This window comes from Homo sapiens, chromosome 9 (assembly GCF_000001405.40).
Source record: "Homo sapiens chromosome 9, GRCh38.p14 Primary Assembly".
Classification (NCBI taxonomy): Eukaryota; Metazoa; Chordata; class Mammalia; order Primates; family Hominidae; genus Homo; species Homo sapiens.
The window spans coordinates 15,728,645-15,744,868 of record NC_000009.12 but is presented as its reverse complement, the minus strand read 5'-3'; the positions used below and the strand labels follow the sequence as shown (position 1 = coordinate 15,744,868).

At 34.6% G+C, this 16,224-nt stretch overlaps 1 protein-coding gene across 35 annotated transcripts in view; it reads right to left on the bottom strand.

Moving 5' to 3' along the window:
* CCDC171 (coiled-coil domain containing 171) overlaps nucleotides 1–16,224 on the bottom strand; it is a 556,042-nt gene that overhangs the window by 364,058 nt on the left and 175,760 nt on the right. For all 35 annotated transcript variants that reach the window (XR_007061261.1, XR_001746227.3, XR_001746228.3 and 32 more), the window contains 2 exons: nucleotides 15,071–15,259; nucleotides 92–596 (listed from right to left, as the gene is read on the bottom strand). Coding sequence is in view for 30 of the 35 variants with exons in the window: in XM_047422930.1 (XP_047278886.1) it covers nucleotides 92–596; nucleotides 15,071–15,259 (694 nt within the window). In the remaining 5 variants the exon portion in view is untranslated. The remainder of the gene's footprint in view (nucleotides 1–91; nucleotides 597–15,070; nucleotides 15,260–16,224) is intronic.

Genomic DNA, 16,224 nt, shown 5'->3' with positions numbered 1-16,224 from the left:
TTTTTAAGAGTTTTTCCATAATAGCCAGGTATAGTCACACTGTATTTCGCTTACATGCAACTTATATTTTTAAAAGCAGAAATTATCTTACTTGGAAATTTATGCTTGTCTTGGGGCTCTCCTGTGCACACTAACATGCCTATGCCTTCTTTGAAACTCTCCATCCAGGTAAAAAGAGAGGCACATGATTGGCCCAAAATCTTGAGTCTGTTTGCTGCCAAAACAGCAATAACACCTTTCCGAAATATACGTATCAATCCTTTGAATGTTTTCTTTTTCATCTTGGCTTCCTCTTGCTTCTTTTCCTCTACAGTTGACAAAGCCTGGGCTAGAGTTCTAATTTCCAGTTTGAACAACTCAAAGGTGTTGACCTGCTCCTGGAGAAAATCTCTCTGTGTAGACAAGGCGCATGATCGGCTATAGAGGGGATATAAGGCACCAGCCATTAATGCACAGGCTGCCAGCAAGGACATCTGTTCCCTTTGAGTCTGTGATAACAGTTTTTTGAAGTGCGAATTTTCAAGAACCAACTGTTCATGTGACTTCTCAATATGGTTCAATTTTTCCATGTTTTTTTCAGCAATTTCTTGAAATTTCTATGGAAGAAGTCAAAAAATATATTTGATCATGAAACAAACAGGCATTATATTAATTTCCCTTTACTCAAAGAAAACAAACTTTTGCTGACAACCACTTCTTCCTCTTTAAAAGATACATGTGCTAAAATATCCAAAATATAAATAAGATAGACATGGCAACAGTGAGCCAAACAGCTTAGATCTGAATGTGCACATTGATTTTTAAATCCTCTCACATAGAAGCTTTATGTAAAGTAGAACACATAAATTTAAGACTATTTCATATATTTCCTGTAGACTTATACATAAACACACAAATTTAGAAAAGAAAAATATGCTTTCTCTGTATAATTTCTCTTCTTCCACTCCTCACTAATTCTTCATTTCTACTTTTAAACAGAAATGACACTGCCAATAGAGGGTTTCCTAGATGTAAAAAAGACTTTACTTTTTACCAAAATAAGCAACCGGTTCAATCAATGATATAACAAATAGCATGGTCTACCATTTACTGCATGAGAAGGCACTGTCTCTCAAGGATACTCACTTAATTTCAGTTTCTGTCTTACCTCCCCATGACAGAAAGCTATACACAGTGCATCTCCAGTGGTGACAGGAAATACTAATTGTGAGCTGGGCCTCAGCAGCCCTCTGCTCCTTTTTGCCTAATCAAGTTGCTTACAATCCAAAACTTAATTTGAAATAAAAAGAAATTTAACTGTAAGAACCACAATTAATCACTAGAAAATAAATTGGCTCTCTCTATGAAATCTTAACCTAATCAGTAAGGAATCTTGAAAGAAAGAGTAAAATTAAGAAGGGACAGGCAAAATGGCTCACGCCTGTAATCCCAGTGTTTGGGAGGCTGAGGCAAGAGGATTGCTTGAGCTCAAGAGTTTGAGACCATCCTGGGCAACATAGCAAGACCCCATCTCCACAAATAAAAAATAAAAAAAATTAAGACAGGAATAGTGGTGTACACCTATAGTTACAGCTACTCGGGAGGCTGAGGTCAGAGAATCAATTGAATCCAGGAGGTTGAGGCTGCAGTGAGCCATGATTATGCCACTGCACTCCAGCCTGGGTAACAGGGCAAGACGCTGTCTCAAAAAAAAAAAAAAAAAAAAAAAAAAAAAAAAAAAAAAAAAAAAAGAAGGTAACAGATCCCAGTTTCCTTTACTATTCACTTATTATTCAATAAACATTTATTGGGGCCAGGCATAAGGGCTCACACCTATAATCCCAGCACTTTTGGAGGCCAAGGTGAGAGGATCACTTGAGGGCAGGAGTTTAGGACCAACCTGGGCAACAGACTAAGACCCTGTCTCTACAAAAAAAAAATTTAAAAATATCAGCCAAGTAGGGTGGTATGTGTATAGTTCTAGCTACTCAAGAGGGTGAAGGTGGGAGGATCTCTTTAGTCCAGGAATTTGAGACCAGCCTAGGTGACAGTGCAAGACCCTGTTTCTATTAAAAAAGAAAAAAAAAAGTATTGATTAGTTACTAAATCACATGTACTCGGAAAAGAGACAAGTAAATCAACTAGCATGGTATAATGCTATGATAGAGATATTCCAGGTTGCCAGAGGAGTACAAAAGGGCACTTAAACTTTGGCAGCCATATTCTATCAATGGGACTATGTCCCAGAACTCCACATAAAGACCATTAGTAAAGCAAGTGGTGGCCCACAGGGAGTGCTAAAAGAAGCAAGGAACTCTGAGAAGCAGTAGCTACGCAGACTGCTTGCAAGAGGATGTGCGACAACCCTCTTAAAGCAGGCACACTTCAAGGAAAAATAAAACTTGACACTTGGCTTATAGCTATATTAAAGCAGGAAGACTAGCATGAGGAAAAGGAAGAGGCAGAAAACAGCATCGTATGCTCTAAGGATGCAAATAATTCAGAATACCTGAAGAAATGAGAGAAAGGATGGAAATTTGAAAAGTACACAGATAACAGAGGACTGAGTACCTTATGTGCTACACTAAGAAACTTAACTTTATCTAGAGAGGTATGAGAAGCCATAAAATCCTGGAACTGTCCCTATTCTTAGTAAAGGGATGTGAGAATCAGAAACATAATAAAGATAGCCAGGGTTAGCAGTAGAGTTGCAGCAGTTGGGAGTAGGATGAGGGGAACAAATGGACATCACAAAGGTTGATTCCATATTCTCTTCAAAATCAATTTCATCTGTTCAATTAGAGAAAAAAAAGAAAATTACAGAAAACCTAGAAAATACAAGAGGCAAACTAGCAACACTTAGATAAGTGAAAATAAAAGTGAACCTCAGTGTCTCAGGCAAAAGTGTTTTCAACAAAAATTACACATAAAATTACAATAAAAATTGTGCATGTAGATACAGGTAGAGATAGAGACACTGTATCCTAAAGTCAGTATCTTAATAATGGAGAAAAACCTAAAGCATTTTTTACCAAGTTCCGGAGCAATGCAAGAACACCCACTATCTCCACTAGTATTTAACATTGTATTTGGTGTGTTATTAGCCAGTACAACTAGGCAACAAAAAGCAAGTAGAGACATAAGAATTGGCAAAGAAGAAGTAAAACTATCTCCATTTGTAGAAAATTTGATCATAAATCTAGAAATAGCAAAAGATCCAATGACAGAATTCAAACAGGAAAAAAAAGTCAGTAAGGTTAAAATATATTAAATTAACATACAAAAAAATCAATAGCTTCTTGTTCACAGCAACATTATTCACAATAGCCAAAAGGTAGGAAAAACACAAATGCCTAACAGAGGATGAATGAATAAACAAAATGTGGTATATCCACACAACAGAATATTATTCAGCCATAAAAAGGAATGAAGTACTAATACATGGTACAACATAAATTGAAAAATTACGCTAAGAGAAAGAAACCAGACACAAAAGGCCACATTTGTATGACTCCATTTATACAAAATATACACACTAGGAAAATTTATAGACACAGAAAACACATTTTTGGTCACCAGAGGCTGAGGAGAAGAAGGAATAAGGAGTGACTGCTTAACGAGTTCAGGGTTTCTGTTTGGAGTGATGAAAAGTTCACGAGCTAAATAGTGGTGATGGTTGTGCAATACTGTGAACACACTTAATGCCACTGAACTGTATACTTTAAAAGGATCAAAATGGTAAATGTTATGTCATGCATATTTTACCACAATTTAAAATATCAATATCCTTAATATATACAGATAAACAAAAAAGAAAATAATGGAAGAGAAAACCCCATTTAGAATTCCATAATAAAAAAGATATAATAATTTAGGAATCAATTTGGCCTGAAATGTAAAAAATCTATATGAGGAAAAGTTTTAAATATGGTTGAAAGACACAAAATAATACTTCAAACTTCAACAGCCTAACTCATCACAAAGATTCAATTATTCCTAAGTAAATTGATAAACGTAGTACAATTCCACCAAAAAACAAACCAGTTTGTTTTCTGGAGCTAGGCAAGCTGAGTTTAACCCTGAAAAAGAAGAGGAATGAGAGGGGAACAGCCCCACCACATATTGAAACACCAACAAAACCTCTAATTAAGGCCGGGCACGGTGGCTCATGCCTGTAATCCCAGCACTTTGGGAGGCCAAGGCGGGTGGATCACCTGAGATCAGGAGTTCTAGACCAGACTGGCCAATATGGTGAAACCCTGTCTCTACTTAAAATACAAAAAAACAATTAGCCAGTCATGATGGCACAGGCCTGTAATCCCAGCTACTTGGGAAGCTGACGTAGGAGAACTGCATGAACCTGAAAAGCAGAGGTTGCAGCAACCCAAGATCACACCACTGCACTCTAGCTTGGGTGACAGAGCAAGACTCTGTCTCACACACACACACACACAAACAAAAACCTCTATTTAAAAAATCACGTTATTTGTACATAAAAAAAAAAAAGACCAATGGAACAGAACAGCTAGAAACAGATCTAAGCACAAAAAAACTTCAATGATAAAGGTAGCAATTCAAAGCAGTAGCAAAAAGACAGACTAAATGGTGGTGAAATAACTGGATGGCCTTCTGGAAAAAAATATAAAAGTTGATCTATACCTGACATTTTATACATAAGTAAATTCCAAATAGACCATAAATCTATATGTAAAAAAAATGAAACCACAGAAATATTAGAAGAAAATACAGGCAAATTACTTAATCTTGTTATAAAGATAGGATTGTTAAAACTAAAAATCCAGATGCATAAAAAGAGAAGATCAATTAACAGATTTAAAAAAAACACATTGGAGGGCCAGGCACGGTGGCTCAAACCTGTAATCCCAGCACTTTGGTAGGCCAAGGCAGGTGGATCACAAGACCAGGAGATCGAGACCATCCTGGCTAACACAGTGAAACCCCATCTCTACTAAAAATACAAAAAATTAGCCAGGCATGGTGGCACGCTCCTGTAGTCCCAGATACTCAGGAGGCTGAGGCAGGAGAATCACTTGAACCCAGAAGGCAGAGGTTGCAGTGAGCCAAGATCGTGCCACTGCACTCCAGCTTGGGCGACAGAGTGAGACTTGGTATCAAAAAAAAAAAAAAATTGGTATTACATAAATAATTTTGTCTCAAAGTTTCCAATTCACTCCTACTAGAACCCAAATCTCAGTGGATACTGTGAGACCTATTATTTCTCTATTTTAATAGGAATAGTTTGAATATTATAGTGCTTATTCATATTCCAGGCATTGTTCTAAATGCTTTACATATATTTTTTTAAATCCTTATACTGAACTATGAGGTTGGCACAGTTTTACTGATAATAAAATTGAGGTTTAGAGAAGTTACACAATTTGCCCACACTCCTTCAGCTGGGTTTATCTAATTCTATCACCTAACTTTTTTGTCTTTACTGAACTAAGGTTCTCCCCTCAGGTACCAACATCCCCACGTCTTCCCCAGTAAAGAATTCACCTTCTCCCACTGTCCTCAACCTGATGAACAAGAAGTTGATCTCTTCCTTTAGTATACAGGCATTAGCCTCACCACTACTTTTCACAATTTAACATGTTCTGTAGAACACCCGGCTCCTTTGCCTTCGATCTCCCCTAACACTATTTGAATACTAACAATCTTCAGAGCCCATTTCAGGTTCTGTCTATTCTATGACTCATTTTACTATCATTTTCCTTCACACTGATATTGACCTTCTCTGAACTTAAGTAAGGGTCACTCAGGCATTTAACTTCTACACTACTTATTTATTTCATGTGTGTATATCTACTCTCCCTCAAATACAAGATTGCTAGTTCCTAGAGGTTAGGAATTATTTACTATAGTGTCTGTCACAGTGCTCTATACTCTGTAGGTATTTAATAAATATTGAAGGAATTAAATAACCCTTTATAAAATCATCCCTGACTTTGCTTAGCACAGTGTTTTGCCCATAATAGACACTGAATAAATGCCCAATTAATGAAAAAAGCTTTAGAGTGTAAAGGCTTAGAAAAAAGAAAAATATAATTTAAAAAAACAAAATTTCCAAATGTAATTTGGAACTTATCTACATGTCAGAATTCTGGTTTAAATTAATTCTGACTTTCCATAGGGAACTACTTTCAGAGGTATTGCATTATTTACTGTGAATTATTCTTGAAGAACAAAGCCTGTTTGATTGTAAGGGTGGAAACAGCTATAGAGCAAATTTGCTTTAAAAAAAAAAATCGAATGTTTTCCACCCAAGGAGATTAAAGGCCAGTATTTTTAAAACAAACATAAGGAACATCGCTTTCATATGGGACAAAAGCATTCCTAGTACTGAAATAACCTGCTCCTCAGTGTGTTTAATTTCGAAAAATAATATTCTCAAATTCCCCCATAAAAACATTCCGATCATGAAGAAAAAAACCTAAAAATATAGAATGCATACCTTTTACACAAAATTCAATAGCATAACAAAAATACTACATAATTTCACCAGTTTTCCTTTACTCTCTAATAAATTCAAAGTGCATCCATAATGTGGAAAAAGGACAGCTTTTTTCCTTAATGAATCACGGACTTACTTCCTGAAATACATGAACTTTGAGGGATGCCTTACTGGCTTACAGCACTCTGTGAACTTTGAGACTCTGGGCCAGAAATTAGACACTTCCCTAGGGAGTAAAATTCTTTTGTATCACTCTTGCTTGCTGAGTTCTTGCTCTTTATGTTGGCAAAAAGGCAAATTGCACACTGGACATTCAATGGCATATAGACATCAAAGGACTTCATTTAAAGTGTCTTATTTTTATAAGTTTCATATCTTGCCTTTTTAAGCTATGGTAATATTTAAAAATATAACAAACATAAATTCACCTGCTTTCTCTATTATGTAAATGTTTCTCTGTTAAAAAATAAGGACACTTTGTAGGGAAATTGGAACTCTCAGACATTGCTAATGGGATTGTAAAATAGTGCAGCCATTTTCAAAAACAGTTTGGCAGTTCCTCAAAAAGTTAAACATAGAATTATCATATGATCTAGCAATCCTATTATCTAGTCTTCATACACACACACACATTCTCAAGCCCCATAATGGTTATTTAATTTTAAAACACTATCTTCATTACGTAAATTTAACACATCAAAAATATGTGCCAAAAATAGTATGTGCCTGGGTTTATTGTTTTGTTTCTAAAGCACTGTAAATTATAAAATACCCTTTGGATAAGCCATACCCTCAAAAGAACAGAGTTCTTTTTATCGGAAGACTGGGAATAAATATGTCAATACAGGCAAGATGTCTGGTTTGCTTACTGTTAAGAGATATTACCTCTGACTGTGGAAAATTAGCAATATTACCTCTAAATTCTGATGTGTCCTATATCTCCCTTCTTTCTGTGCTTTCAGATCCTGGCAACAGGGCCCAGGTTGGCTCCAGTCTCCTCTGCTAAGCCTCCTCAAACTTTGACCATCTATCTCCTCTTCTAAATGTATAGCATTCTTTTGGCAACTAATTATGTACAGCCTATGATAAACCTTGTATTATTTACTTTTTCATGTATCTCCCCAATTATATTTTACACTTTTTGAGGAAAAAAATATATAGTATACCTCTTTGTTACTACCACAGCATGCAACACAGTGTGCTATATATTTGGTATATAACATATATAGTTTTTTATTAATATTAACTAAATTATGTAAAAATTATCTTGATATTCTTATCTACAGTAGCAATTTATGATATAGTGTATTAAAACTTCAGTTTCTCAGAAAAAAAAAATCCGAGAAATACAAATTAAGAGAACTACCATTTGTGGGTGGCTGACAATGTAGCACTATTTAGATTTTTCATACATTATCATGTTTAAACATTAATCAAGAATCACTTAAAAATGTGAGTTCTGGCCAGGCACAGTAGTTCACACCTGTAATCCCAGCACTTTGAGAGGCCAAGACAGGCAGATGGCTTGCGAAAATATGGCAAAACCCAATCTCTACGAAAAAATACAAAAACTTAGCCAGGTGTGGCGGTGCATGCCTATAGTCTCAGCTACTCAGGAAGCTGAAGTGGAAGGATTACCTGAGCCCAGGAGGTCAAGGCTGCAGTGAGCCGAGACTGCAGCAGTGCACTCCACCTGGGTGACAGAGTGAGACCCTGTTTCAAAAAGAAAGAAAGAAAGAAAGAAAGAAAGAAAAAGAAATGTGAGCCGGGCACCGTGGCTCACATTTGTAATTCCAACACTTTGGGAGGTCAAAGCAGGTGTACTGCTTGAGCCCAGGAGTTCAGGGCCAGCCTGGACAACAGGGCGAAACCCCGTCTCTACTTAAAAAATACAAAAATCAGCAGAGCATGGTGGCGTGCCCTGTAGTCCCAGTTACTTGGGAGGCTGAGGTGGGGGAATCTCTTAAGCCTGGGAGGTTGAGGCTGCAGTGAGCTATGATCGCACGACTGACCTCTAGTCTAGGCAATGTAGTGAGGTACTAGCTCCAAAAAAAAAAGGAATATGAGTTCCATAAATATGAAACTGAGGTATCACTATACCTATTTTCAGATATTGCTTTATATATAAAAATAGCATATATTTCTAAAAGAAGCAGTATTACAATATAATGCAAAAGGGACTGGAAGATAAGGATGGTAAAAACGTACTAAAACAGTCCATAACATTCACTTTGTAATTTCTAAATGCCAAGCAATGGGCTAGACATTTCACATATGGTTATGTTTCTTCTAATCCTGTCCCTAGAACTTCCTTACTACACAAGTAAGTAGTATCAGTTGTCTGAACCTCAGATTCCTCGCTTGTAAAATAGAAATGATACTTAAATGACCTATCTCATATGCCTGTGGTAGGGCTTACATAAGGAGAGACATACAAAATATGCAAAAGCATTGAAAATTATATCAAGCACCACGCCAATTCAACTGCTAATATTATAATTAACAAAAACAATTTCTAAAGCAATTATTTGAAAAGTAGTCAGAAGTCTCTTCCACAATTTCATTAGAGGTATCCATTCCCATGGACTCACAGTCTATCAGAACATAGTGTACACGTGATTGTAACTAACTCTCTGAATCGCTGCAGGCTGGCGTGTATACCTTAAGGAATTATCACCTCCAACAATATCAATAAGCTCCACTTTATCTCTGAATATTCTTGGAGTTCAATTATGAAGAAAAAAGTTTCAACATCTAATAACACTTTTATGACTCACCTGGATTCCTTGCCAAATACACTCTCAATACCACAGTAAAAGAAGAATAAAATGCAATATAGCATGATGAACCTGAATCTCCCTGAGTTTTGTTCTCCATTCTAAACTCACTTGATTTTACTAAAATGTCAAATAAATCTAAAGTGTTTACAATAAACATTACATCAAGGGTAACCCTTAATTAACTGACAGTAAAAAAAAAACTTTACTTCTAGAAAGGAAGTCCTTGTTCCAATAACTATCTTTTTCAAATAGAAAAGAAACAAGAACATAAATGCTAAGATTACAAAAACAAAGTTAGTAAATGGAATGGTATGTGGCACTGGGCCCAGATACTTTAGTAGGCATAGACACTTGAGATATATTTACATGATGGCTCAACGTATTTAAATTCAAGAATTACCCAACATGTGGCTAGCAAACTTTACCCAGTGCTAAAGACATGCTGTGATAGTAAAACCAGTCTGCCTTCTCTACAAATTTCATTTTTCTAGTAGCATTTACACTAACTGTTTTAAAGCTTCGACATTAAAAAAGTCTTAGAAATATTAGATTCTTACAAACACTACTTTTCTAACATCTACTACATTTTTTCAGATAAAAGCAATCAAATCCAAATATTGTTTTTTACTTTAATTTAGTGTCTTTTACTAATTGCTTCTTTACAATGGCCAAATATTAAACATAAGACTCTAAGAATAGGTCATTTGTTTCCCAGCAGATGGAATATACTTATGGTTATGCTCATCTGACACCAAACATCCTCTATAACTCACAATCCTATATAACAACTGCGGATTTTTTCCCCTCATGTCCTTATCAACATAATTTTTGAAAATGTATTAAGTAATGTAAAATGAAAATTTTTTATTTGCATTGCACTTTTGGTGGTAAAAGATATAGAATTAATCATAACAAAATTTCCTAAAATAAAATTTACAGGTCCTATAATATGTATTATAATAACAGTTTATCAAACATAATACCAAAATAAATTGCTGCAGTGTATTCAATTATATTTGATAAAAAAGCAAATATGTACATAAATAATACAGAATATATGCCTATTTATTTATTTATTTATTTATTTTTAAATGGAGTTTCGCTCTTGTTGGAGTTTCGCCCAGGCTGGAGTGAAATGGCGCAATCTCGGCTTATTGCAACCTCTGCCTCCTGGGTTCAAGTGATTCTCCTGCCTCAGCCTCCCAAGTAGCTGGGATTACAGGCATGCGCCACCACGCCTGGCTAATTTTTTGTACTTTTAGTAGAAACGGGGTTTCTCCATGTTGGTCAGGTTGGTCTCAAACTTCTGACCTCAAGGTGATCCACTTGCCTCGGCCTCCCAAAGTGCTGGGATTACAGGCATGAGCCACCACACTCAGCCTCCAATTTATAATAGTAATGTACTTTTACAGATAATTAAAATGATCATTTCCATTTGTATACAGATGGGTCAAAGACTAAGGTATTACACATTCTTCAGAGAAAAGTCTTCAATGAGAGCTTCTCCTAAAACATTAGCATTTGTGATGACTGATTCTCTTACTTCAAAAAATGAACTGCAGCTGGGTACAGTGGCTCACGCTTGTAATCACAACACTTAGGGAGACCAAGGAAAGAGGATCACTTGAGGCCAGGAGTTGGAGACCAGCCTGGGCAACATAGTGAGACCTCATCTCTACAAAAAAATTTTAAAAATAAAATTAGTTAGGCATGGTAGTGCATGCCTACAGTCCCAGCTACTTGGGAGGCTGAGGTGGGGGACCACTTGAGCACAGGAGGTTAAGGCTGCAGTGAGCCGTGACTGTGCCACCATACTCAAGCCAGGGCAACAGGGCGAAAGTGTCTCAAAAAGAGAAAAAAGTGAATTGCTATGCCTTCTGGTAGATTTTCAAAGAGTTCAGGACATTGATGAAAAAAGAAGTTGGAAGACTCACACTACCTGATTTTAAACTTAGTAAAAGGTTAAATCAGTATAGTATTGAAAGAAAAAAAGAATTAGACACATAAATAAATGGAACAGACAAGAAAGTCTAGAGATAGATTGACACAAACAGTGAACTGATTTTTGATAAAGGTACAAGGGCAATTCAATAAAGGACAGTGATTTCAATAAATGTTACTGGAATGGACATGAATACGCAAAAAAAAAAAAAAAACTGACCTTAATCGATACCTCACACCTTTACAGAAACTAACTCAAAATTGATCATAGACCTAGATGTAAAACCTAAAACTATAAAACATATAGGGAAAAAAATGGTGCCTATAATCTTAGGCAAAGAGTTCTTACATGTAATATCAAAAGTATAACCCATAAAAAAATTGATAAATGGGTCATAAAAATTTGAAACATTTGCTTTGCAAAAGTACTGCTAAGAGAACAGTAGAAAACATTTACAAATCATGTATCTGAAAAATGACCTGAACCTCCGGTATGTAAATAACTCTCAAAATTTGACGATAAGAAAACACACAATCCAATTAAAAACTGAGCAAAATATCTGAACAGATAACTCACCAAAAAAGATATACAGATAGCAAATAAACACATAAATAAATGATTAATTTATTAGGCAGTAGGGAAAATGTAAATCGAAATCACAATGACATGGCATTACACACCTATTATAATGGCTAAAATTCAAAAGAAAAAAATGATGAAGTCATATGTTGGCACAGGTGCAGACCAAATCAAAATCTCTTACATTGCTAGTGAGAGTGCAAAATGATATAGTCACTTGGAAAAACAACTTAATAGTTGCTTAAGTTACACTTACCATATAACCATATAAATATACACTTACCATATAATCTAGAAATCAAACTCCTAGGTATTTACCCAAGAGAAATGAAAATTTATGATCACACAAAAACCTTTCCATGGATGTTTAAAGCATCTCTACTCATAATTGCCAAAACTAAAAGCAATCCAAAGGCCCATCAGCAAGTATTTGGATAAAATTTTACAGCCATACAATGGGACATTATTCAGCAGTAAAAAGGAATTAACTACTGATATATGCAACAATGTGACTGAATCTCAAATATATTTTGCTAAGTGAAAGTAACCAGACCCAAAAGGCTATATACTGTATGAGTCCATTTATATGACATTCTGGAGAGGGCAAAACTATATAGATGGACAAGTCTGTGGTTTCTAAATATGGCCAACTGTTTTTTCACAAAGGTACCAAGGCTATTCAGCTAGGAAAGTGCTGAACAAGTGAAGTGGGAACAATAAATGAAGAGGGAAAAAATGAAACTCTTCCTAACAGCACACACAAAAATTAATTTGAGAGGGATCACAAACTTAGACGTAAAAGCTAAAACTATGAAACTTCTAGAAGAAACAAGACATTATCTTCCCAACCTTGAAGTAAGGAAAAATCATTTCACATATATAAACAAATAGCCAAAAGAGAAAAAGATTTGTAAGTTGGACTTCATCAAAATTTTAAAACTTATGATCATCAAAAGAAACACTGAAAAGGCAAGCAAGAGATTCAGAGAAAATATTGTGATGCATATACATGACAAAGGATATGTATCCAGGATATGTAAAGAACTCTTAGAAATCAATAATAAAAACCAAATATCTCTATTTTTTAAATGAGAAAACAGTAGAAGAGATACTTTACAAATGAAGATATGTGAATAGCCAATAAGTATATGAAAGGTGCTCAGCATCATGAATTACCAAAAAAATGCAACTTTAAATCACAATGAAACTCCATTTTAAAACCACTATAATGACTAAAATTTAAAAGACTGACAATACCAAGTGCTGCAGAGGATGTAGAACAATGGAAACTTACATGTGTTGCTGGTGGGAATAAAAAATGACACAAGCATTTTTTAGAAACTTTTGACAGTTTCTTATGAACACACATATATCCCATGACCTGGCAACTGCACTTTAGTAATTAAGCGAGAGAAATAAAACCATATGTTGACAAAAGACTTGTACAATAATGTTTGTGGCAATTTTACTTACAATATTTAAAAAACAGAAACAACTCAAATATCCATCAACCCACAATCCATCAAATAGTGGTGCTGTGATAAAATGGAACGCTAGTGACCATAAAGAAGAATGAAGTACTGATTCACACAACAACGTAAATGACATTATGCTCGGAACATTAATATTGAGTGAAATTAGTCAATCACCAGACTATTGAATGATTCCACTTACATGAAATTCAAGAACAGGTGAAAACTAATCTACATGACAGGCATCAGAACAATGGTTGCCTATGAGGCGTAAAACTGACTGGAAGAGAGAACATGAGAACACTCTAGGGTAATGAAAATGTTTGAAGTCTTAAATGGGGTAATGATCACATGGGTGTTTATGTTGATCAAAACATCAAATTGTAGTTACCACAGTCTAGGAAGGGTGTGTTGGGGGAGGAAAGGGATGGAGAGAGGTAGGTTAAAGGGTACAATAATACAGTTAGATAGAAGGAATAAGGTCTAGTGTTCAAAAGCACAGTAAGGTGACTTTATTAACAACAATATATTGTGTATTTCACAATAGCAAGAAGAGAAGATTTGAAATGTTCCCAACACAAAGAAATGATAAATGCTCAAGGTGATAGATATCTTACTCTGGCTTGAGCATTACACATTCTATGCATATATCAAAATATCACATGTACCCCATAAATATGTACAAATATTACATATCAAATAAATACTTTTTAAAAACATCAAATTATACACTTAAGATTTGTGCATGTCACTGTATATCAATGCTACCTCTACAAAATTAAAATTGTTTAGCTCTTTTACTTCAATATTAGAAAATGCAGAGCATATAATATAGTAATCTGCATACAATGAAAAAATTACTACTTTTAGATGGCACGTTTGTTGATTCATTCAAATTCATATAGAAAGGCATAAGTTCATATAGGACCTTTAAATTTGGGGATACAGAATGACCTGATTTAATATAATAATAATAATTTTATTTATGTATGTGTGTGTATATATATTTATATAGTTTGGTTATTTTTAATTAGACTTGCCAATATAAGCATGAATGGATCAAATAAAGAGGCTAAATACCAAATCAACCATGGGAAGAATATACAACCTTCTGGTTCCTAAGTATCCTAACTTAGGAACAAAAGTGACCTATTAATAAATTCAATGCCAAAAAAGTATACCCTATCATCAAGTTATTCCTGATTAGGTGAAGATGATAGTTAACAATATAAATAATGTTGATGATAATTTGTGTAGAAAAAATACATGGTTATGTTAACCCATAACTTCTACTCTCAATCAAGATATAATACATAATACAACTCATAGTGAATTACTTTTGCTACATGGCCTACAACTATAACCTTATATAATATCAGTTATATAATATAACCTTATATAATATCAGCAGGCATAGGAGATTTTAACCCCAAATAAATTTAAATGATGGTTCACATAGGAACCTCCACAAATGGAGTAAACCAGATAAAGGAATACCTACACTAAAACTGACAATACATTACCAAATACTTTAATATTTTATTTTAAAAATAAATAAAGGAAATATAATTTTCGCATTTAATTAACTGACCAATGCATTTTGGGATATTTTAATCAGAAACCCATATATTTCCAAACTTACATGAAAGACAATCCTTAATATACACACCCATACACACACACGTATGTGTGTGTATCTAAACAAATATATGTGTATCTAAACAAGTTCTACGAAGTTCTTAAGAAGTTTAAACTGATTTAGCACTGCTACTGAAAAAAAAAAAGTTTCTAATGGTTACACTGAGTAACCCATTTTTTAAAGCTCTTTGTAAAGGTAGCATACCTGTGCCCTCTTCTGCACCTCCAGGAAGAGTTCAGAATACTGCAGCTCTAGTTCCTTCTTTTGTCTGTGCCAGCAGCTCTCTTGGGCTTTGATCTGTTCTGCCACTTTGGTAAAGGTGTCTTCCTGAGTCTGCTGAAGCTCTCTCATCGTGTCAGACTTGTTTTTACAGATATACTCTAGATGCCTTATCTATACGGGGAGATGCAACAGAGAAGGAAATATGCTCACAAGCTATTTCTTTGTGTCATCTCCCCCAATAAAATACCCAAAATGTCCTACTATATTTTATTCCTTAAGATCATATAAAAATTTTAACATAAAATGTAAATAAAGAAATTTAAAAAAAGAAAATAGCAGTGTAAACTGCCACACGTTAGCAGAAAATTGTGTTACTTGTATATTTAGATGGCAAATTTTTCATCTTCTCTTTCTAATGAAGTTACTTATTCTATAATTAATTTGATTGAGATTGAGAAAGATACTGTTACTTCTGGAACCAAAGCTCAAGCTATTCAAATATCTCAATGGGAAAAAAAGTAAGTAAGATTTAAAAATCTGCAAACAGTTTACATGAAATAAAGCAGAATGTTCTAACCATTTTTTGTTTCACATTCAAACTCTGGAAAGAAAATCCTCATTTTCTAAAATGTATGACTATTAAGGATGTTTTGAAACAATGAAAACTATTGAAAATATAATACCATCTCATAGGGTTAAAACACATTCATTTTAATTATCTTTAATTTTCAAATCCATTATGTACACATTCACAATCAAGAATAGCATCTGTGCCTTTCACAATTTATTCCCTCATTTCCTAGCCCTACTTCTCAGTGTCTATGGTTGTGTTTGTCAATAGGACCAAGATAAAATGCTCAATAATAAAAAATATCACCCTGAAATTAGGTCAATATGCTGTTTTATTACTTCAACAGAATTTTTTTTTTTAACTTACGGGACAGTTTTTCTCTTCTTGTCCCTTAAGAGCACATGTCATTGCAACTAAGACCTGGAAACTAAACCACATAAACACAGTACTGACTAGTTCAATAGACCCAGGATAAGAACCAATGTGTCTTTAATGGTGGCATATGTTGATCTGCTAAGCCACTGTAATTTTCTATGACCAAAAGCAGGTTTTTAAACATTTGTTG